Here is a 24713-nt window from a genome sequence, read left to right on the forward strand (position 1 = left end):
ATGATCTACATAACAAGACATGCACCAACCAAATCTGCAGTCAAATATTGGGGGAAAAAAGCAACAACAGTAGGTTTGTGTTTATTGCGATGTCTGGAATATTTTAAAAATTAAGCTCCTGGCCTCAGCCTAGGGATTTCTAATCAATTCCAGGAAATGTACTGTATCTTTCCTTGAGGCCAGCAGGAAAGCCCCTTGGCAAGGGTGTCTGGAATGGCCACTTGACATCCCCAGCACACCTCTTGCCAAAGTTACCCATGGCTGCTGACAGAGAGACTGATGTGCTGCCACAGATTGACTTTAGGGATGAACAGATCAAGATCAACTAATCTGGGCAGATGCATTAAAGTGTTTCTGTGTATTTAAGCATACCATAGAAAGACAAATTCAACAGCTTTCACTTTGCTTTCATACAACGTTGTTCTCTTACGTGTTTTCTATTTTTGTTTATATACTAATTTCCTCTAGATTGACTGGGTTCTAAATTTATTATGAATTTGGTAAAGCCTCTGAACTTTGTGTTTCTATATTACACACCTTGTGTCTGTGACTACTGTTGTGGTTATACACTCGGGATTTTGAAGTCTCAACGATAATCACCATAAGTCATTTTTAGCAGCTCTGTTTAAAAGATTCCATCAGTAGAAATTCAGCACGGGTAACTTTCACTTAAACATTCCAGACCCTCAGAATCCTTTACATTTAAGTGATGTGTTAAAAACAATGGCACCTCTTTTTACTTAATTTCAGTCACATTTGGAAGAAGATAAGAAAGTTTATTCTGAACTCCATCACTCACTATTACTGAGTTTGCTTCATTGTTGAAACTAGGGAAAATTAGTCCGAGGTTTCAAAAAAGCAGCTAAACAATTTTTTTTCCAAATTCTTATCCACCATGACTAGACCATGGCAAAAAAAAAAAGAAAAAAAAAGAAAAAAGAAAGAAAAAAAAGGAAAAGAAAAACAATAAAACACAAACAAACAAAAAACCCAGAGAGACAAAAACACACTTCAGCATAGTAGAAAGAAAGCAGATATACGTAGACACAAATCCCCAAGCTCTCCACTTACTGGGTAAGTGGAGCTACTTAATATCACTACAATTCAGTTTCTTTATTTATAAAATAGAGATGACACCTCCTTCATCGCTTTGCTGAAGGATTACAGGATGATGGGTGAACTGTAATACTTGGTACATATTATACATTCAATATACATTAGGAGGACCCCTTTCTGCTCATTATGTGGACAGAGGTAAAGTACCAGGCCAGGGTATTTATGATGACTATGTGGAAAGACTTTGGCTTCTATGGGGATGACATGGTTATAGGAATCAAAACTTTGACATTAAAAACTTTCATATCCCTTTATGAAATTCAATGAAAAAGAAAGAGCTGTTGATGCTGTGGGCTAAACATGAGGACAGTAATGGTTGGATTAACACAGCTGGACCACAGAGTGCCAGATGGTGGAAGACACCCTTCCCCTTCCCCTTCCCAACCCATAAATCCTAGAACCCTGAGCCCCCTAGTGTGAGCTTTGTGCATTTGTGCTTGAGGCAGCGAGGTTCTCCCACCATAGGTCCCAGTTGGCATATCCACCAACAGCTCTCACCAAATCACACTTGTGTCCTGCCTTCCTTTCCACATCCGCCTGCACTCTCACCACCCCCAAAGAAGCACCTTTACTGTATATTACAGATATGTTTGATTTCTCTAAGCAAAATGTTCTCATATTCTACGTACAATTGCATTCAAAACCTAAGTTCCACTATCTTAGAGATGATTGTGTTGTTGTGTTTTTGTTTCCTTGAGGGAATATTACCTCTGTAAACCATATGGCAAAGGGACAAGATGGAACATGAGTCACTGTACACAAGGGAACAAACATCCAGACATGAAGGCAGCGTCACAACAACTCCAGAGGCTGGCAGTTTCTGGGCTTCAAAAGGAAAATAACTTTTTTTTTTAACTCTGCAAACCACAGCTACTTGTGTGGTTGATGTGTAGCTAAAGGCCACGGGTCTCCTATCACATGATCTCACACAGAACTGGAGTTCTTCCAGTGAGCAGGTGTTAACGGTCCCTGAAAACCAGTTTGTAAGAGATCGTAGCTGTCATCCCGGAGTGGTGTGTTTTAATAGAAAGAAACCCATGTTTCCCAGGAAATTGCTATCAAAGTTCAACAGAGATTCCAGTGCATGAGCGGAACATAATTTACCCACCATTTATCTTTAATGAGCACCTACTGTGTGTCAGGTACTAAGCACCTGCTAGCTTTGTCTATTTTAATCCTGCTGTTCCTTTAAATCTCAGGCAAACATCACTTTCTTACAAAAGCCTTCCCTTACTTCCCTGAGTCAGATCCTCCTTTTACACACTCTGGTAATATGACATCTCTGTCTTTCACGGCTCTTAACCATGGCTGAATTTTACAGTATTTATGGCATTCTTTTATTAACATTTGTCTCCTCCAGCAAGCTGTAAGCACCATGAGGGCAAGTACTGTGTCTGACTTTAGTCAGTACTATATCCACAGCACCTAGAAGGCACTCATGTATTTATCAACAAATGCAGGTCTTTATGTTGTCTGCAATCTTACATGCTCCTGAGGTAACAGTTCAGCTGACCTGATTTAGGGTCAGCTAGGATAAAATGAGTAAATATTAATTAGGAATAAAGTGCATATTTCTTTCTTTGGGAGACATAGATTACCCACACCAGTGGTGAACTGGTAAGCCAGCTCTCTTGAAATTAGTCAGTCAATCAATCAATAACCCTGACTGGTATTGTTTGCCAAATTCCTTGGTGCAAATACTCTCCCCATATCCAATTTCAGACTACCGGTATGAAGTTATTGGACCTGAGTTGGGAAGAAATGCACACAATCAGCAATCATGAGCCAATTTGAAGCAGCACTAGCATACACTGCCTCACACCCCACAGATACTCTGAACTATTGCATCACTCCCATGATTTGTCATAACTGTAGCCACAAGAGCAGCCTACGATACCTTGTGTCTTCTGGAGGCATGTAATTAGAGACCCCATGAAATAAAGTCACATACAAATGATTCACCAGGAAAAGCCAACATCACTGGGAATGGAATGTTAATTTTTTAATCTGCATAAGATTGAAATTACAGTTAAGATCCTGTTTGACGGAACATGGTTTCACATTTGAACTCTGGAGAAAAAATAACCTGGGGACATGGGTTCTCATTTTAGAATCTTATTGATAAGTGAAATGATAACATTTACTCTCTAAACCATTGTCTTGACCTGAATGGGTAGCAAAAACATCACCCTAAAAAGTCACCACAAAATGAAGACCTGAAGGCTTCAAATAGGAATTTTTTTGCCCTAGGGTGTACTCCTGAGATTCTACCATTAGGGGTGCTATTCTTTGATTTTTCTAAATCTTATCAGGACATTAAAGCCACTGTGAAAGTGAATATTCTCCATGGACAGCTGCCACTTTAATCCTTTATCAGCCAACACCTTCACTATAAGTGAGAATAAAAACCAGCAGAAATAGGCTTGGTGGGCCCCAGTGGATGGGAGCAGAGGCACTGGAAGGGGAATTGGAAATTTGCATAAACAAGTTCTGCTTCATGATATTTATTTATTTATGCCAAATCTAGCCAGTCACTTCTCTTTAGGTTTTTTGCCATGCCTGGTATTTTATTTTTAAGTCATGTATTTGTTCTAATATTTATTGGACAATTACAACTGCTGATAAAATCCAAAGGGGCTGGGGATTTAGATATAAAAGATGATTAGCTTTTCTCACAACTTTCATGCAAACATAACTAAAAATTAACACTATTGATTTTTGCTAAATAAAAGTACCAAAAACCTGTTATCTACATGACTTGTTTGCTTAAAAGCATTTGCCTTGGGAGGCAATTACTTTTGCACCAACCTAAAAACATCCACCAAAGCGTTTGGGGCTTCCCAGAGCCTCCATGTTAGCAAATCTTGGGCTAACATGAAGAGGATGTGATGTTGTTGGATATGGCCAATACCATATGAAGCTAAGTCTAGCTGAGTGTTAGCCTGGGGGATACTGCCAGGAACAAATGAGGCCCAGCTCCCAGTAATGGGATATGTGTCTCCTGGATGCACTCTGAGGATTAAATTCCGTGCGCTGACACACACTAAAGCCTCTAGCAAAGTCTTCATTTAATTAACTACAAACTTAGATATATGAAACAAAACCTCTGTAAAAAATCTTAAGGTCGAGAACATACTATATAATAGGCACAAGACTGAAGCAGTGTGGGGCAGATGTGATGATAGAGTCTTTGATGTTGATAGAAAAGCAAACTGGAAAATATTCATTCGTCCTCCAGAACCTCAAATCCACCCACACTGGAAATTGTCACTAACATACTCTTGCTCAGGAATAACACATACTCTGACTTGTAACGCTTGTCTTATTCTTTCACTTTTATCATAGAAAGAGGTCAAGGGGCAAAAAGAGGACAGATTCTAGTTCTAACAAAGCCAAGTTGAAAAACATCAGTACTTAACTAGGCTGAACTAATTCAGACACTAAAATAGAGAGAAGTTATGTAGCTTAGATTTTAAGCAGTCTAGAAAATCATTATCCCTCTCATATCCTAAGTCTCTATCAGTAAATCCTCTTGGACTGGAAATATCTTATATCCATTCTGAGAACTGGGCAAAATCCCCTTCACTTTAGTTGCACTGGTTGGTTTTTGGTAAAATCTTCCACATACATCTCAGTAATAACATTGAACATAGTTGTACCTACTCTGTGATAACTTCCTTTTTGGGGACCCATAGATTATCAATTGTTGCTTTGCTGTGGTCTTTGTTCAAAAGATGAATTTTTGTTTTAACACTGTGGTGAGCAGAATAATGGCCTCAATAGGTGACCGATTCCCAATCCCTGGAACCTGGAAATGTGTTAATTTACATGGGAAAAGTGAGTTTGCAGATGTAATTAAGGTTAAGGACCTGGAGATGGCAAGATTATCCTGGATTATCTAGGTGGACCCATCCCACTCACATGAGTCATTAAACTTGAGAACCTTTCCCAGGTCAGAGTCAGAGGGAGATGTGTAGACAGCAGAAGGGTTCCATAGATGCGATGTGAGTCTTCTACCTGCTGTTGCTGGCTTTGAAGATGGAGGAAAGGGGCCATGGAATGTGGGCAGCCTCTAGAAGCTGGAAACAGCAAGGAAACATATGCTCCCCTAGGGCCTCCAGAAAGGAACACAGCCCATCAACATCTTTATTTTAGCCCAGTGAAACCTCCATCAGACTTCTGACCTATGAAACTGTAAGATAATACATTTGTGCTATTTTAAGCCACTACATTTGAATAAATTTGTTATAAAGAGGCAATAGAAAATGAATGTGGTTAAATATCAAATGTATATCCCACAGGTTTGTTTACATGCCTTTCTTTGTACACACTTACCTTTACTTTCAATACATGCTCTTTTAAAAGACATCTTATATGGCAAGTAAATCATCACATGTAGTGTCAATAATGCATGTCATTAAATTGAATCAACCATAATACAAACAGCTATGATAATAACTTCATTATGATCGCCACCTCACTGGCAATGACTATAGGGTTATAAGATGCACCCCAATTGCAAAAAAATTAAAATGTGAACAAAGGCTGAGGCAGGAGGATCACTGGAGCCCAGGAGTTCAAGACCAGCCTGGACAACATAGTGAGGCCACATCTCTAATTAATTAATTAAAACGTGAACAATAGAATCTACGAAAAATGGAAGATAAGAATTAGGCTCTCCAGTTCACAGCAATCCCCATACCACTCCCTACCAACTCCCTATGCTCACTGCCTTTTCATGCCAGGTACTTAGGAGCTCTGGCTTGACCTCTCAGTTTCTTCTTTCATCGACAGGAGGAATGATAGCCAGCCTACAGGTCCATTATCATAAGAGTGAAGGGTGTAATCATATCATGAAAAAAGAGAGCTTTGAACACTGCAGAGTATTAGGCAGGTGACCCAGCTATCCTTAGGCATCTAGTCACCAGACTAGAACCTTGGTGCCCTCTTTGTCTTTGCTCTCCCCTCCTCAATCCACATCAGTAGGTCCCCACACTTTCCTTTATTTTTATATTTATATTTTTATTTTTTGAGATAGAGTCTTGCTCTGTCATCCAGGCTGGAGTACAGTGGCACGATCTTGGCTCACTGTAGCCTCTGCCTCCTGGGTTCAAGCAATTCTCCTGCCTCAGCCTCCTGAGTAGCTGGGATTATAGGCATGTGCCACCATGCCTGGCTAATTTTTGTATTTGTATTTGTAGTAGAGATGGGGTTTCACCGTGTTGGCCAGGTTGGTCTCAAACACCTGACCTCAAGTGATTCACCTGCCTCAGCTTCCCAAAGTGCTGGGTTACAGGCGTGAGCCACCATGCCCAGCCCACACTTTTCTGTCTCTCTTTTTCTTTTTCATAGCCCATTCCACATGCTAATGCTCAATTACCTTAATAGCCTCCTAATGGTTCTAACTCTGGCTGCTGTTTCTCCTCTCCTTCAGTCAGCCTTATCAAGAGCCACATGGCTAATTTTTCTAGAATAAAGACTTACCCATGTCTGTCCTCCATGACAGGCAACCCCAAGCTTCTAAATTTTGGGTGAAAAAGTACAGACTCCTTAGCCGGGTATCCAAGGCCCATAGCAATGTTGTTTTCTACCAAAACACACCATAAACCCAGCATACTTTACCAAGAGCATTCTCCCAGTCTCTCTTTCCCCTCTATGCATAGGTGAGGTCTAAAATTTCATTTGAATTGAGCTCTAGATTTAGATCCTCCATGGAACTTTTATCAACATACTCAGTTTTCAATGGCCCCCACTGATCCCCCTCTAACTCTCTGTAGAACACGTCTAATATCTCTCTGAATTTTTTGACATATCTAACTCCATGCCCTAAATCATACAAGATTGTGATTGCGAATGACCATGGAAATCTTCCCTTTATATTGTCCCTTGACTATGTTATGCTCATACTTGTATTGCAAATTGCTGATGCATTTCACTTTGCCTGAAACACCTTCCCCTTCCACGCAACCTGTCCAAATCCTATTCACCTTTCAAGGGTAAGTTTAAGTTTTTGACCTCTCTCAAGAACTTAACAACCACTTTAGCTCATGCAGTGTGCACTGCTTGAATTTTTAATTTGAACAATTGAGTTTGTTCTGTGCCACATCTATATTTATCTGCTGATGTGTGTTATTCATGATTTTTCCTTCAAGCTCTTTAAGATAGGAACTTTTTTTTTTTTTTTTTAGGCACAAGGTCTCACTCCGTTGCCCAGGCTGGTCTCAAACTCCTGGGCTCAAGCAGTCCTCCCACCTCAGCCTCTCGAAGTGCTGGGATCACAGGCGTGACCACACCTGGCCAACATAGGAACTTTTATTATACTTTTTGGATATTAGAATTCTGCCCCTGGCATATACTTACTCTGTGGCCTTGGGCAAGTCACTCAATCTCTAAGAGTCTCAATTTCCTCATTCGTTAAATGGGGAAAATGTACGAAAAGGGACCTATCAAAGTGCCTGGCATACAGTAAGTTCTCATTAAATGTCTGTTATTTACATAATAGTTTATAAGCTTCTATCGCATCCCATTCCTCGCCAGTCTGTCCATGTGTACATAAAGACTACTCGTTGCATTAATTATTTCATCCTTAGACTGGTGCAGTTCTAATCTTTAAAATGGTTTGTTGCTCACCACAGTGACCACAACTAATGATATGCTATCCAGGGGACAAACACTCCCACAGGCTGGTGCTTTGTAAGTGATATATTGAAGGAAAACATCGTCATCTTTTCCATGTATAATAACATCTGCCTCCTTAACAAGGGTTTTGTGAGGTTCAAATGAGATAAACCATGTGAAAGTGTTTTATAGCTATTATAAAGTACTATAATAGATGTTATTATTATTCCAATGTCCTTATATATAACTTTCTTTCAATTCAGTTGCTTTCCCAGATGCAGTAAAAGAGGCTGCAAACCATTCTCGAGGACCCCTCATTCATTCATTCATTCTCGTTGTTGACAGATCTTTACTGATCTCCTATTAGAGACAGAGTAAATGTGCTAGTCACAAGAGGGGCATATGAAGATGTAATATCTCAGCCGGGTGCAGTGGGTCATGCCTGTAATCCCACACTTTGGGAGGCTGAGGCAGGAGGATTGATTGAACCTAGGAGTTGAAGGCTGCAGTGAGCCATGATCGTGCCACTACACTCCAGCCTGAGCAACAGAGTGACAGCTTATCTCAAAAAAAAAAAAACAGTTATAATACCTGTACCCTCAAAACACTTCATATTATCCTTTTTTTCCTTCTCACCTTTTACCTTAAGCCATCCTGTTTATCAACTGAACATTTTATGTGTCTGCACATGAGACAGGATGGGGTGGGGAAAGAAGCTGAGTAGGTGACACCGAAGGGGACTCATCTATATGATCAGCCCTGTTGTACCATGTGAACCACAAGAACTTTATTTATAGGGTACTGAATCTTCTAGAGATGAAAAGTCTCAGCCCCAGAAAGCAATGCCAAATTATGAAAAATCTGGAGGAAGAAGAAAACCACCAAAGGGTATTCTTAAAAAAAAAAAAAAAGAAGAAGAAGAAGAAAGAAAAAAAGGTATACCTACTGAAGACTCTGACCACATATCATTATGACTCATAGTAAAATGGGTCTTGGTGATTCACTGCTACTTATTTGTTTTAAGCATGATAATTATCTTTACTGCTTAAATTAAGCTTTTCTTATTTCCAAAAACAATTTTTTAAAACCCTTGAGGCTTTGTTGGATTTTTATTCCATTGTTAAATAAGATTAAATACTCTGAGCTTTTCAGGTCTAACATTAGACTTGGTTACATTTTTGTAATACAGGATGTCTTTTGAGTTTCCATTCTAGATCACTTTTTGAAAGAATAAGATTTTTAAAATTTCTCATCAACTGTAAAATAGAATTGTAAAAGATATTGCTAAACAATGCTATTTCAATGTTTTTCCAACACTGAGCCTGTGAAGGTAAGCAAAGGAAGAGAGAGAAGTAAAAGGTGGGAGGGAAAAGTCTTTGCGATATTTTCACTGCCTTTACTTAAATGAGTATTAACTGATTTCAAAACCAATATCAATTTTACAGTAAATGAGTTTTGACATGTGCATGATTATGGTTATATTCTAAGTGAAAATGGCCTGGCCTGGGGCTGAGAATCTCCTGAGACACTAACCACTTCAGCTATTCTCACTACTATACCTGTTCTTTAATGGGTGAATTCATCTGATAGGTAGGTTGGATACAACTGAACTCTCCATTAAATAATTGGGTTTATGTTTTAAAATGCTAACAATTTCTGAATTAGGAAAAAATTTAATATACTCTAAAGAAATAGCAAAAGCCTAGCCTCCAAACACCAGATTGCTTCCCTTGCCTGGTCCTTGCTTTTGTAATTCTAGGCTTCTAGCATAGTACTTGGCACACACAGCTTGCTGTTCAATGAGCTACTTTCAAATTACAATGAAGTCATATAAAATGAGTGAAATTAAGAGATTAAGTATGTGTTTGTGCATATATATTTTAACAATCTCATCTGACTTGGCACAAAACTGTACTTTGCCAAGAATTTCATTATTTAATTAGCATTGCTGCTAATTTACACCATGCGCTTAACCAAGTGACTTACCCCTCTTTTTTTAAATATTTGTTTAATAATTCTCTCTTTTATTTATGAAATAGGACCGTCTTTTCTGCCTTTATAAATGTCTCAATATATTCTTTGTATTTGCCAACCTAGACAGGGACACATAATCAGAACTTTGTATGATGTTACAAAGTCATTGAAAGGCTAGTGTTCATGCATATGAAAGTGCTAAAACAATAACTACTCAGAATTCTGTAAAATTTTAGTAAAACGTCTATTCACATCATCTTGCATGTCTGGACCATACTTAAAAGAAACAGTGTCTCACACACTGAGGACACTATTGTGTTATTAAAAGTTAATTCTAGATTTGAACCTAATTATGATTTTAGTCCTTTTCTTTCCTCTTCAATCTCTGTGCCTACAGAAAGCTACTGAGTAGAAAATTAAATGATCTACTACTAATAATATACATATATTTATATATTTTTTCATATAAAGTGCTTTTAAATGTCTTCTATCATTTAACCTAGCCAATGAAGTAGTGAGTTTAGAAATGTTACCGATTGCATTTTTCAGATAATGTAACAAAGAGGAGGACCAGGTAATAAAAGACATAAGTTAGTTCAATATATACGCAGGGCCATCGCTCATGAGAAATGTGGCTAAAAGAAATTACACATGTATAAACTTTGAAGTAGACTAGTAGTTCTATCAGTGAATGCTATCAACATTATCTAATTAGCCACTAGATTGGTTATATATTTATATATTGTTTCATTAGCACATATCAGTACTTAAGAACACCAAATATCAGTCTCAGCACCATACATATAATTCTTTTAATCCTTGTAGTAAGTTTTGAGATGGTTATTAATCCTCTTCCCATTTTACAGATAAGGAAGCTGGGGCACAGTGAAGTTAAAGCCAAGGTCCACACAGCTAGTATGTGAAGCACTTAGGATTCATATCCAGAATTCTGGATTTTAAGCTTCTAAAGAGTGGACTATTTTCAACAATGGTGTATCTTGCCATAACTAACATAGTATGTTGTATTTAGAGGCATTTATTAATTATTTCCTGAATAGAATTATGGCAGCAGTGAAAAATTTTTGGTCAGAATAGTGAGCCTTTCTTTGTGAGCCACACCATTAGACCAATGCTTCCAAAGTAAACAAAAGCCGCTGCCTTTAATTGATGTTTACTGGGGCAATCAGAGCTTTAGTGAACTATACAAACTGAAAATGTCATCACACCTTGCTCTGCAACTTACAAGCTGGGTAATCTTGAGTAAGTCAACAAGCTCTCCGAAGCCCAGTTCTTTATTAGTAAAATAGGGATATTAAATAGCCTGAGAAAGAAGTTGTGAAGATTCGGGATAATACAACAAAGAACTACAGAAAGTAATATATAGTAACCACATGATTAATAATAATAATGCATGCGATCATTTTTATGGCGATGATTCTCATTAGCCCCAAAGCACACCTCTAACTGATGGAACAAATGGAACTGCAACCTAGTTCTCCAGATTTCTAATCTAGCCCGTCCAGACACTCATTGTTATTCTTCTCCTCTATGGTAACCGGAGCAAATTGAATAACTTTTACATCCATTTAATGGCACCATCATGGTTTCAGTGCATATCATTTTTAAGTTCTGGTTTTAGGCTCGGTTGTGAAAATAATTTTGTGATGTTGCAGAAGAACAAAGCAATTTGGTTTTCCCGATTAAGAAACTCTACTGACACAACATCAGGATTAAATTCACTCTGGACAGCAGATGTTACTATATCAAAACCACAAAATGTTATCAGGGCGGTTCCCTCAGAAGACACTTACTGGCAAAAACTTCTGGCATTTACTATTGAAAAAATTAACATTTTTCTCTTATAAGAGTTTATGGTAGAAAATTCAGAAAATACAAAGAAAAAAAAGAGTAAAATAGAAGTCTCCAGAAATACCATCACTGAGAAAAGCATAAGCCTGGGGTGGGTTTGGGGTGGGAGAAGAAATAATGGAATTATATTGGATTATATGCAATATTTGTAATTTGTGTTCTGCTTCTACAATAGACATTTTTCATGTCATTAGATATTTTGTACAACATCACCTTAAAAGGCGGTATTGTATGGATATACAATAATGTAATTAACTGAACATATGGTTATTTACAGTTTTTTCACAAGCAACCCTGCTGTATTTCTGTGCACAGATATAGTTAAAATCTTGGGATAAGTTCTGAAAGTGGAATCACTTGAACAAATGTTTTTAATGCTTGCCAAAGTGCTTCTGGCAGTGAATTAACCTTGTAACAATAAATAGTATTACTGAAAACAATCTTAGTCCATTTGTTATTGTTTTACTTTAAATGGTATCTTGCCAGGTTTTTAAAACTCTGTATTTCTTTTGTTACTAATGATACTCAAATTTTAAAATATATTTATCTTTTATTTTACTTTCTTTTGTGAAACACCTTTTCATATACTTCATCATTTTTATACTGGGCATTTTTCATTATTCATTTCTGTGGATTGTTATGTAGTACTCCTTTGTTATACATGTAGCAATGTCTTTATCAGTCTTTTTTCTTTTGATTTTTATTTTTTACTAATTTATTTTTGTTTGTCTTTGCTTTTTTTTTTTTGGAGACAGAGTCTTGCTGTGTCACCCAGGCTGGAGTGCAGTGGCACAATCTCATCTCACTGCAACCTCCGCTTCCAGGGTTCAAGCAATTCTCGTGCCTCAGCCTCCTGGGTAGCTGAGATTACAGGCGCATGCAACCACACCCGACTAATTTTTTGTGTTTTAGTAGATACGATGTTTCACCGTGTTGCTCAGGTTGCTCTCGAACTCCTGAGCTCAGGCAATCCACCTGCCTCAGTCTCCTAAAGCATGATTACAGGTGTGAGCTACTACACATGGGCAGATTCTTAATTTTTCATGTTTTAACATAAAACAGCTCTCAAAGTTTTAAGCTTTATGTAAACTAATCTGCTACCTTTGGCACCAAACTTAGAAATTCTCACTCTACCTGAATATTGTAAAAATATTAACAATTATTCTCTGGTACTCAAAGGTTTTAGTTTTAACATTTGAGAACATGATATCTCTGGAATCTGTTTTGGGGCATTGTTTGAGTTAGAGAGACACCTGTATAGGATATAAATAATATATTTTATATTTTGCCCTCAAATGATTAGCCATTCATCAAAACACTATCGAATAACTATCCTTTCCCCATTGATTAGAAATGCCATTTTGTTCATATACTTCATTCTTCTTTCTAGTCATGTCTGTTTATGGGCTTTTTGTACTATTGCTCTGTTCATACTTGTACCAGATTCACAGTGTTTTAATTATGATGGCTTTATATTCCTTTCTAAAAATTTATAGGACAATGTCTCCCATTGCTTTTCATTTTCTTAGCAAGTTTCACTCAGTTTTTCTTCCAAGTAAATTTAACAGTCATTCTGACATACACTTTTATAGCTAAAATCCACTATTTGTCCATTAGTGACTTAAATAGAGATTGTTCTTCCATAAAGATGCTTAAAATTGCAATAATTGTGACTGGTAAAAGGAAACAGGGTTGTAAATTACAGAACATGATACTAGAGACAGCCAGGGATTGTTTTCTCCATGTCTTTAATTGTAGGATAGAGTCATTTAGATGAAGAGGGACATGAAAACAAGGCATTGGATGCATTCTTTGTTAGTCATAAAGTTTCATTAATTTTCCCACACAGTATTTCTGAAAGTGTGACCTATGTTGTCCCAAAATCATGCTGTGTTTAAAATAGTGCAGCTTGTGAAGCAAGAATAATTTTTTTAACTCAAAACTCATGAAAGAGACACACAAGTTATGTCCAGATAACATTCAAGGTGCTGCTAACGTTCCCTCCATGACAGAAAGGCTATTCCCTTCAGACCTTGGCGTTCTCTTTTTCACTGAGAACTGAGATTAGACTGTCCCTTGGTATATATTGGTTTTATTGTTGAGGTGTACGTGTGTGTGTGTGTGTGTGTGTGTGTGTGTGTGTGTGTGTGTGAGTGTGTGTTTGGTGTTATATATATCCAATCTCTCAAGGGCAAATTGCAAACACCCTACCAGCCGAGTGTCCACCCGGAGACAGTATATCATCAACATATGTCCTTAAAGGGTCATTTCCAATCCTGTGATTCTAGGTTTTTGTTTTGTTTCCTCCAAGATTACGCTACCTTTTTTTTTTTTGGAGATGGAGTCTCCCTCTGTCACCCAGGCTGGAGTACAGTGGTGTGATCTTGGCTCACTGCAACCTCTGCCTGCCAAGTTCAAGCGATTCTCCTGCCTCAGCCTCCCAAGTAGCTGGGATTACAGGTGTGCACCACCACGCCTGGCTAATTTTTGTACTTTTAGTAGAGACAGGGTTTCACCATATTGACCAGGCTGGTCTTGAACCCCTGACCTCAAGTGATCCACCCGCCACGGCCTCCAAAAGTGCTGGGATTACAGGTATGAGCCACCGCGCCCAGCCTATGCTACCTATTTAACTGTAGTCATAATTTCATTGCAGTCTGGCATTGGTCTTTAATTATCGCAACACTTGTTCAACTTAAAATATCAAAACTTTTATAATTAATCAAGACTGATTGAGTCATGTCAGTATAGGTCATCCAGGAATCTTTACTGTGGAGATATTTTTTAAAAAAGACTTCTGGGAGAAAATTTGTGGAATAAAGCAGGATCACTGAATCTCCCTTCCAAGCAACAAAACTAGGAAGAGTGGATAAATTTGGATTATAAAAATTAGATTAAGTGGTGAACAGGAGAGAAAAAAAGATTTTAATGGGGCACAGCATGGCATTGCACAGCTTCTAATTCTTCCCAGACACAAACAGAGAGGAGTAAAAAAAGATGAGCTAAAAATTTTGTAGAGTGTGCTAAGTACGGGTGTCTCTCTTTTGTTTCTGTTTTTTGTTTTGTTTTGTTTTTTTGAGACAGAGTTTTGCTCTTTTTGGCCAGGCTGGAGTGTAATGGGGCAATCTTGGCTCACTGCAACCTCCACCTCCCGGGTTCAAGCAATTTTCCTGCCTCAGCCTCCTGAGTAGCTACGATTATAGGTGGCCACTGCCACACCTGGCTAATTTTGTATTATTAGTAGAGGTGGGGTTTCACCACGTTGGCCAGGCTGGTCTCGAGCTCCTAACCTCAGGTGATCCACCCACTTTGGCCTTCCAAAGTGCTGGGATTACAGGCGTGAGCCACCGCACTGGGTCAAGGGTGTCTCTTGATAGCGGTGGGAAAAGTCATGAAAAATTCCTCAAGAGTAGCAGCTCCTAAAATTATCTTAGAACCCAGATTGAGACAAAAGGCTGCAAGGACTTGCCATCTCACAGATTGCCAGGCTGTCTTGCATTGTGAGCCCATGGATGGGATCTACCTCTGGCTGATTGGGGTAGGCCATAGGACAGGACATTTAACATCCCCAAAGGACCCTGCAGAACAAGATTTGTCAGCCAGGACTGCACCAGCCCAGATTAAGCTTACTCTCTTTCTCTTCCTTCATCTCTTTGTCCCTACACCACAGAAAAGTGGATTGAAAGAATGAAACTATCCTCAAACATTAGCTCATAAGGGAAAGAACAAATATGTCTCAGAGGTAAGTTAAAATAGAGTTAGGGAGAACAAGCCACACTATATTATAGAAAGCAGAATTTTGAACTAAGCTTTAATTCAATTTCCAGTTAAATTCAGTATAAACAAGAGGAAAAGACTAAATTTACCATTTTAACCTTGTTTTTTTTGAGACGGCGTCTCACTGTGTCACCAGGCTGGAGTGCAGTGGCACGATCTCAGCTCACTGAAACCTCTGCCTCCCAGGTTCAAGCGATTCTCCTGCCTCAGCCTCCCAAGTAGCTTGGACTACAGGCACGTGCCACCACACCCAGCTAATTTTTGTATTTTTAGTAGCGACGGGGTTTCACCATGTTGGCCAGGCTGGTCTCGATTAAGTGTACAGTTCTGTGGCATTAAGTACATTCATATTTTGCAGCCATGATCATTAACCATCTCAGAACTTTTTCATCAGAGTTTCCCAAAATGAAACTCTGTATCCATTAAACAGTAACTCCCCAGATCTCCCTCTGCAGCCCTTATTAACCACTATTCTTTTTGTCTCTATGGATTTGCGTGTTCTAGATCCCTCATATAAATGGAATCATTCACTATTTGCCCTTTTGCATCTGGCTTATTTCACTTAGCACAATGTTTTCAAAGTTCGTCCATGTTGTAGCATGTATTAATTTTATTTCTTTTTAAGATGGAATAATTTTTCACTGTATGTATACACATTTTGTTTATCCATATGTTTATCCATTTGTTCATGAACATTTGGTTTATTTCTACCTTTTGATTACTCTGAATATTGGTGTACAAATATCTGTTCTAGTTCCTGCTTTCAATTCTTTTGGGTATAGATCTAGAAGTGGAATTGCTGGGTCATATGGTAATTCTATATTTAATTTTTTTGAGAAATTGTCACACCATTTTTCCAAAGCAGCTGCACCCTTTTACATTTCCATAAGCAATGCACAAGGGTTTCAATTTCTCCACTTCTTCTCCAACACTTTACAAAATATATACAATGAGCATTCTAATAGGTGTGATGTAATATCTCATTGTGGTTTTGATTTGCATTTATCTGGTGATTAGCAGTATTGAGCCTCTTTTCATATGTTTATTGTCCTTTGTATATCTTCCTTTTAGAAATAGCTATTCAAGTCCTTTGCCTATTTTTGAATTGAGTTGGTTTTGTTGTTATTGTTGAGTTGTAGTTCTTTATATATTCTGGATGTTAATCTCTTATATGAGATATGATTTGCAAATGTTTCCTGCATTGTGTGAGTTGCCTTTTCACTCTGCTGATTGTATTCATTGATGCACAACAATTTTTAATCTTGATGAAATCCAATTTATCTATTTTTTCTTTTTTAGACTGTACTTTTAGTGTCGTATCTTAAAATAACTGCCAAATTCAACGTCATGAAGTTTTTCCCCCATGTATGCATCTAAGAATTTTATAGTTTTAGCTCTTGTGTTTAGATCTTTCATCCATTTTGAGTTAATTTTTGTATATGATGTAAAGGAAAGCCCTCACTTCATTCTACTGCATTTAAAGTAATAACTTTTAAATAAATGTAATCATCTAGCAGTTTAACCTCTGACATTGAAGTCTTACCTGGGAGAAAGGTCACTGAGGACCTAAGTGCCCAGATGTACCACCATGACGTAGTGACCCAGAGCGTCCAAGGGGCTGGTCTTTCCATGGCCCCCCCTCATCACTTCCTGAAGCCTGCTGTAGACTGCTATAAGAGCGGCCCTCTCTCTCTCTTTTTTTTTTAAACAACTAGAGGCACCTGTTCTTTGAAGTGGGTGTCAGCTGCAGATGTAACACCCATTATCACATGACATCTGTTTTTAGTTAGTGAAAAATGCTGCGATGCTTTACTTATTTGCCTCCCTGCTTAAAAATCCACAAGCTTCAAAATTTCCCACAAGGGGGATCATTAATTTTTTTCTCAAATACTTTTTTTATTTTTTAATATCAGAAGACATCTTTTTGGTATTTACATGTACTGTTTTCAATCTCCTCTATTTTAAGTGGAAATAAGTAGAATGGCATATTTTAAAACAGCATTTTATATGCCATTTTTTCAGACAGGAAACATCAAAGATTCCTGGCAGCCTCCCAATTATACAGCCAGATGAATGATCAATTAAAAAGCCACTAGCAGCTAATAGGGCACATGCCACAAAAACAGAACATTACAGGTCGACTATGATGACAAATATGACTTTTTGGCTAGCATTCCATCAGTGTTTTTCTGTTTTTGTTCTTTTTTTTTTTTTTGAGATGGAGTTTCACTCTTATTGCCCAAGCTGGAGTGCAATGGCGCAATCTCAGCTCACTGCAACCTCCACCTCCTGGGTTCTAGTGATTCTCCTGCCTCAGCCTCCCGAGTAGCTGGGATTACGGGTACACACCACCACCCCCGTCTAATTTTTGTACTTCTAGTAGAGACGGGGGGTTTCACCATGTTGGCCAGACTGGTATCGAGCTCCTGACCTCAGATTATCCCCCCGCCTCAACCTCCCAAAGTGCTGGGATTACAGGTGGGAGCCACCCCGCCCTGCCATTCATCAGTCTTTTTCTAGTTAGCATCAACTGTATTTTTTCCTCTGAACAAAACAAACTATAAACTATATAGTTCATACATATGTATACACACACACACATATATATCAAATGTTTTCATATTTGTGCTAAGTAATTAGTGCCATGAAATATTACTAAATAACTTATTTCTGTTTCCAATGTGGCTGCATCTGAGACAGGAAATGAGCACTCTTAACTAAAGTAGACTGTGGGAAGACCCTGAGAATTTCTTAGTGAGCCAGCTCTTTAAGTCTTATTTCTCTCATTCTAAATCCTTAATATTCTATTATTCTTCCTGAACTATAGTTCTTGACTTTTCCTAAACTGCAGTGAGAAACTACGGAATGAACTTAGGCTTGCTTACGTAATCTGTGAGGCCCAGTACAAAATTAAAATGTGGGGCCCCTTGTTCAAAAATTATCAAGAATTTCAAGATGGCAACAGCAGAGCATTAAGGCAAACACAGGGTCATTCTGAGCGTGCGGTCTGTGCAGCTGCACAGGTTTCACACCCATGAAGCTGGCATTTTGTGTGCTTGTTTCTGTGTTCAGCCATTTCTAGGACTCAACTGCAGATACTGATTCTCAGATGCTGCCAAGGAGTCATTTTCATTTTCACCTTAATGTATCTTTTATTTCTTTTCCTTTTTTTCCCAACATCATCCTGGAAGTCCTATTAATGCAACCAACTTGTCTCCTCCTGATTGGTGATAGCGCCTTCCCCTTGCTGCTCAGCCAACTTTCCGTCATCTGTGAAACTATGCCCTAACTGCCCCCATCCAGCTTTTTTCTACACATGTATCCAGAATCTGCTATGAATATTTCATTCAACAATAACAAATATTTATTTTCTAATTGCCCCAAACAGACCTTGAGATAAGAATTTGAGAGTGAATTATTTACTTGAGAAGTAAAAACCAGCAGGGGAGGGGGAAATGATGCAGGGAAAGAAGGCAGCCAACACAGGTGTATTATTAGGACAGCTACCAAAGTCTCAGAACAACTCCCCTCCCCGCTTTTCCTTACTCCCATTCTCCTCCATTGAAGAGCAAGGCAGCTGTAGTATTTATGCATCAAATGATGAGAATCATTGATTGAGGGCTGCTCTGTGGTAGTGATGGTTGTAAATCCTGAAGTGTGATGCATAGAATAGGTAGAATGGTCTTATATATCATTTCTAGAAAGCGTCCTGGAGCTTGGAGATGCAGATACAGGCAGTTTGAAGTTGGCCAGAGCACACTTGAATGACAGAATCCAAGGAACCTAGGAGGATATGACAGCATCTGCTATGTTTGAATACCTACTTTGTCCCAGGTATTATTCTAAGTGTTGGGATATAGGCCATAGACAAAAATCCAAGCTCATGAAGTCTATATATTCTGGCTGGGGGAGACAAATGATAAACAAACATATAGCAAAAGATGGTAAGTACTATAAAAAAGTAAAGCTGGTTATGGGAATAGAGAGTGATGGGGGTAAGAAGGAAACCAGTTTAGAAAGCGTGGCTGGGGAAAGACTCTTTGTAAAGTGATACATGAGCAGAGAACTGAGTAAGTGAGGGAGATAACCTAGTAAGTATCTGGGGACAGGGAGATCCAGAGAGAAGAGTAAGTTCGAAGGCCCTCAGATAAGAGTGTCCCAGCATGTTTAGAAAAGAGTAAGGAGGCTAATGTTACTGGCTAGATTATAGGGAGAAAGAAAAAAATGGCAGCTGGTGAAGTCAGAATATTGGGTAGCAGTGAGATCCTGTAGGGCTTTGTAGACCACAATAAGAACGTGTTGTTTTATTATATTATGGTGTTATATTATATTGCAAGATAGATAGAAAGAAAGTGGAGGCTTTTGAGCAGAGAAGCAATTTGATCTGTGATGTTGCCAGTCAAAATTGGTGATTGCCATATTGTTTCTGTTCTTCACTCTAAAACACCAAAAATAGTAAAGCAAACACATGATCACCCATCCATTCATCCATACATTGAGAAAGCCTTTCAGAGTTGAGTAATTCCGGCTCCCTTTCTGCTACTGCCATCTGGGACAAGCTGCTGTGGGGAGGTAGTAACTGGGAGGTAGCTCATATGAAGAAGACAGGCAGAATGAGAAACAAAGACGAACAATGTTGGCCAACCCAATGATCACCACTCTTCATTTTTTTTCTTTTTCTTTCCTTTTCATTTCTTTTCTTTGAATCTCTACCTTAAAGAACTACACATAGTCCTTCACATCAGAAGGTGACACTATAGTTCTTGACAGACAGAAGATATTCAAGAAATATTAATGAACTCCTAAAATCTGTGTTAATTTATGGCATGTAACTGGTGCAGGGTTAAAAAAAAAAAGACCAATAATGACATAAAATGCACATTAACATAAGCAGCAGAATATACACAGGTTAAACCAAACAATCACACAGGGGATTTACTTGTGCCCTGGGAGGCTAAGACCATAGGCCAGGGATCACCATGGTGAAAGTTTATTCCTCTTTTGCTAGGAGGTTGGACTATCGTGCTCGTTGAAAATGGGGGCGAGGAATCAGGAGACAGAGTTGAGGTTTCCCCCTATTGCATTGTAAGGTATCTGTAGAATGTTCTATAGACACCTTTTCAATTCAATTCCTTGTTCCAGGAAGAACAAGAAGCATTTCCACCAGGAGAGCTACATCCTGAAAACGTTAAATTTTCATGGTGCAGAGTGGAATAAAAGAAAAAACCGACTTCAATTCTCTATTCCATCTGTGAGAAGAGAGCAGAGAAGTTTAAAGTGTGTGACCTTGAGACGGATTTTTCTTTTCTGTTCTCTGTCATCCGACTAAAAGCAGGAAAGCAGAGGAGTCATCTCTACACCTCTGGAAAAGAGCACCCATTGTGACAATGACAAAGGGCAGTTTTGTCCATCGCAAACACGGGCCTCGGGGCAGCAGTTCTGGTGAAGGGGAAAGGAGAAGCCCCAGAAAGCTTCATGGTCACGCCACGTATGGGATGCTCGGCAGCTGCCCTGGCTGGGATCTAACAACAGGAAGCCAGCGGACCTCACGGGGCCATTCCCAGGCTTAGATTGAAGGGAGTAAGTTGGGGAGTTGAGGGTAAAAGGAGCAGCAGTGAGGGTAGGAGACCTTGTCAGACTATAGTCTAGGATTTGCAGAGGAAGATATTTGAGGGGCAGCACTCTCTTTAGTAGTTTGCAAAATGCAGGGGTAAGAGAAAATTACCCTCTGCCTGGAATAACTAAGGAGTTTTGAGACGGAATCTCACTCTGTCATGCAGGCTTGAGTGAAGTGGCGTGATCTCGGCTCACTGCAACCTCCGCCTCCTGGGTTCAAGTGATTCTCCTGCCTCAACTTCCCAAGTAGCTGGGATTACAGGCACCCATCACCACATTGGGCTAATTTTTGTATTTTTAGTAGAGACAAGTTTTCACCATGTTGGCCAGACTGGTCTCGAACTCCTGACCTTAGGCAATCCGCCCACCTCAGCCTCCGAAAATGCTGGGATTACAGAAGTGAGCCACCGCACCTGGCCCAAGGATTCCTATTTGGATTGAATATCAAGGCTTGCTAGGAAAGACAGCCAACAAGTCACCAAGTTAATAGAAGGACAATGATGCTTCCTTTTTCTCCTCAAAATCTTCCTTCGCTACTAAAAGGTGTAGGCACATAGTTTCATCATGAAAAAATATTAATCAATAGAATCTCCTCTTATTTTTCTTAATCTTATTCAGCCGCAAACTTGATATATTTTTCCTAGGTTGTAATCTCTCTGGTTTTGCTAACTTTAGTCAACTTTCTGTTTTGTACAGAAAGCAGTCCAACAAGTCTAGTTCTCAAGTTAAGATTCCAATTGAAGACCAAACTGAAGATCACTCTGAGACTGCAAGCATAACTTCTTGTTTAGAAACTGAAGTTATAACACACATAGGTGAATAGTCTCCACCTGCATGGATATCTACCTCTGTTCTTATAGATACAGCACTAAGTTGGAAGTAGAAATGGAGAGAGAAGTTACAATGATAAATACCATTTGACAGCTTTTGTAGAGAGTAGAATTTCTACTGATAATAATAATAAAGTCCTAGCTAGTAATACACTTTAAACACACTGTTAATCATTTAATAGGGGAAGATCATTTCCTTTTTTTTGGGAGGGGGGTGGGGGGGTGGAGTTTTTTGCTCTTGTCACCCAGGCTGGAGTGCAGTGGTGTGATCTCGGCTCACTGCAACCTCCACCTCCTGGGTTCAAGCGATTCTCCTGCCTCAGCCTCTCAAGTAGCTGGGATTACAGGTGCCCACCACCATGTCTGGGTAATTTTTTGTATTTTTAGTAGAGACAGGGTTTCACCATGTTGGTCAGGCTGGTCTTGAACTCCTGACCTCAGGTGATCCACCCACCTTGGCCTCCCAAAGTGCTGGGATTACAGGCGTGAACCACCGCGCCCTGCCGGGAAGATCATTTCTGAAACTGCCTTGACTAAGCTATTTGTGTGTCTAAGTGACAACACATCTATATTACAGACAATCAGAATTTTTCCTTTTATTTTCATTCTTACAGATAAAAAGATGAATTCTTTTACTACTACGAGAAAGGCCTCTGTTTCTTTCCTCCAACAAGTTCTAGAATAAAAAAGGAATTCAACAGAGAAATATAGAGGGAAAAAAAAAGATCTTTGAATGTACTCCTCATATTCAAACTTTATTTAAAAACTTCCTCAGAAAGGCCGACTTGCATCTAAGTTTATATCATCATTATTTGTAAAAGATCTCAAATAGCAATAAAACATTTTCTTTTTATCAAATACTAGAAACAATAAATCAGAGTCTTTATAAAAAGCAAAAATAAGCAGCATTTGTTTAATAAGGTGCAGAAAAATCCACCTCAAATATGCATCATTAAGCTTACTGTCTCCATGGTCTTGGAACTACTAATTTTCTTGGGAATAAAGAAAAGAGATTGGGAAAAAAGTCCTTGGTTTCCTCCCGAAAATAGTGTGCGTGTCACGAGAGATAAGAAAATGAGGAAATGTGGTATGCGTTGACTAAACCCTTTACTTCTTTAGCGGAGGAACCATGTCTTATTCAATTTGTTCTTTTCCAAATCATTTTCTAAATTTCCCAATAACATTTATTACCTTTCTCCCTTAGATTTAAATTACCATATTTCTATACAAGTAAGGTTGAATTCTTGGTTACCAATTATTTTCTCTTTTTATGTCCACTTCAATGCCCATATCATATTATTTTCATTAGTAAAGCTTATGTTTTCCTCTATAGTAATGCAAGGTCCAGTGATTGTGATTTTCCCCCATCATTTATTACGTATTTTTGCATAATTTCTCCGTGAATTTTTTAATTATCTTCTGGAGGAATTTCTGAATTAAACCTTATTAAACATTTTGATAATATTTTAGTTATGATTGCATTAAACTTATACATTAATTATATAATTAAATTTTTTTTACAATATCCAGTCTTCCCATCTAAGAACATGGCTTATCTCTACATTTTTTTGAAGTCTTCTTTGACAACCTTAAGAAAAGTTTGATTTTTTTGGTTATAGGTGTATTAAAATTTATTATTATAATTATTACTAAGTATCTCATTTTTCATTGTTGCTACTGTAAATGGGGCTTTTTCCCTTTTATGTTTTCTTATATCTGGTATATAGAGCACTTTATTTTTGTATGTTAATCTTGTATCTGGCCACCTTAATGGACCCTTATATTGTTATTATAGTTCATCTATTGAGTTTTTTAATATCTGTATAGGTGATCCTATCTCCTGTAACTGGCACTTTTATCCCTTCCCTTTCAATATTCATATTTTTAATTTCTTTCTCTCAGAGTATTTTTCAGGATCTTCAGTACATATTTAATGGTGGTAGTTTTGCAAAAATCCTTGTATTTGTAGGAATTCTTCTGATATTTCACCAAAAGGATGCTTGCTACTGGTTCTTGGTAAAGTCCTAGGCTATTAAGATTTCTATCTTTATGAGTTCTTGATTGTTTACCAGTAAATGTTATTTTTCATATCTGTTGAGATAATTATATATATTTTCTTTTTATAGATTTGGTCTTAATAGCTTTTCTACGAGGTTGTAAACGTTATTCCCAAAGAGGTTTATAACTGGCACTTTTTCTTCTTTCACAGATCTAAGTTCGGGAAAACAATTGGTACAGGATGTGCAGCTTGAAGAAGCTGAGGGGATGAGTATACTAAATATGCCACACTGTCTGCACCATGCCAGGTAGTCTAGTATGTATTGGGTTCCATTGAGACTGATGCTGCATTGAATTCTGATGATACAGTTCGCTGCGCTTGTCCACTCTGGTCTGTAGGAGAATTGCCACAGTCTTATGAATATAAGGCTGGGTTTGGAGGGGGTCAGTTGAAATTTTAGGAGTTTTCATATGACTCTTACTCTTTCAGATTTGCTATCTGCAATTGCACATCTGCCAGTGACCTCTGTCTGTTACTGAAGAAGGCTGCTGGCTTCTTTGCTGTATATCCTGATCACGCTGACTTCCTTCTGCAACTTCTAGATAAGTAAATTTTTTTGATTTATCAGGAAGTGTCTTTGGTCTCTCAGTCAATTCGATTCTACTACTGACATTTATCAACATGGTGGGTGTGATATCTTTTAATCTAATGAGCTATATAACTGCATTTTCTTTTTGTTGTTGTTGTTGTTTTTTGAGATGGAGTCTCACTCTGTCACCCAGGCTGCAGTGCAGTGGCGCGATCTTGGCTCACTGCAACCTCCATCTCCCAGGCTCAAGCGATTCTCCTGCCTCAGCCTCCCTAGTAGCTAGGATTACAGGTGTGCGCCACCATGCCCAGCTAATTTTTGTGTT

General features: G+C 38.5%; 1 long non-coding RNA gene across 2 annotated transcripts, besides 3 other annotated features; it reads left to right on the forward strand.

Moving 5' to 3' along the window:
- Window positions 201–280: a silencer, noted in NCBI's record as "silent region_17560". NCBI's record gives its function as "represses an Ori minimal core promoter by ATAC-STARR-seq in GM12878 lymphoblastoid cells {active_cell/tissue: GM12878}" and the evidence as "EXISTENCE:reporter gene assay evidence [ECO:0000049][PMID:35858748]".
- Window positions 291–350: a silencer, noted in NCBI's record as "silent region_17561". NCBI's record gives its function as "represses an Ori minimal core promoter by ATAC-STARR-seq in GM12878 lymphoblastoid cells {active_cell/tissue: GM12878}" and the evidence as "EXISTENCE:reporter gene assay evidence [ECO:0000049][PMID:35858748]".
- Window positions 2703–2752: an enhancer, noted in NCBI's record as "active region_25099". NCBI's record gives its function as "activates an Ori minimal core promoter by ATAC-STARR-seq in GM12878 lymphoblastoid cells {active_cell/tissue: GM12878}" and the evidence as "EXISTENCE:reporter gene assay evidence [ECO:0000049][PMID:35858748]".
- Window positions 20815–24387, forward strand: LOC105378010 (uncharacterized). 2 transcript variants are annotated; one of them, XR_943010.2, is made up of 3 exons: window positions 20815–20934; window positions 24010–24106; window positions 24289–24387. It is a non-coding gene; the product is annotated as an uncharacterized LOC105378010 (long non-coding RNA). The 2 variants fall into 2 exon arrangements; XR_001743891.1 differs by lacking the exon at window positions 20815–20934 and adding an exon at window positions 21351–21513.
- The last annotated feature ends 326 nt before the right edge of the window (window positions 24388–24713 follow it).

The sequence above is a fragment of the Homo sapiens genome, chromosome 6 (assembly GCF_000001405.40).
Source record: "Homo sapiens chromosome 6, GRCh38.p14 Primary Assembly".
NCBI classification, from domain to species: domain Eukaryota; kingdom Metazoa; phylum Chordata; class Mammalia; order Primates; family Hominidae; genus Homo; species Homo sapiens.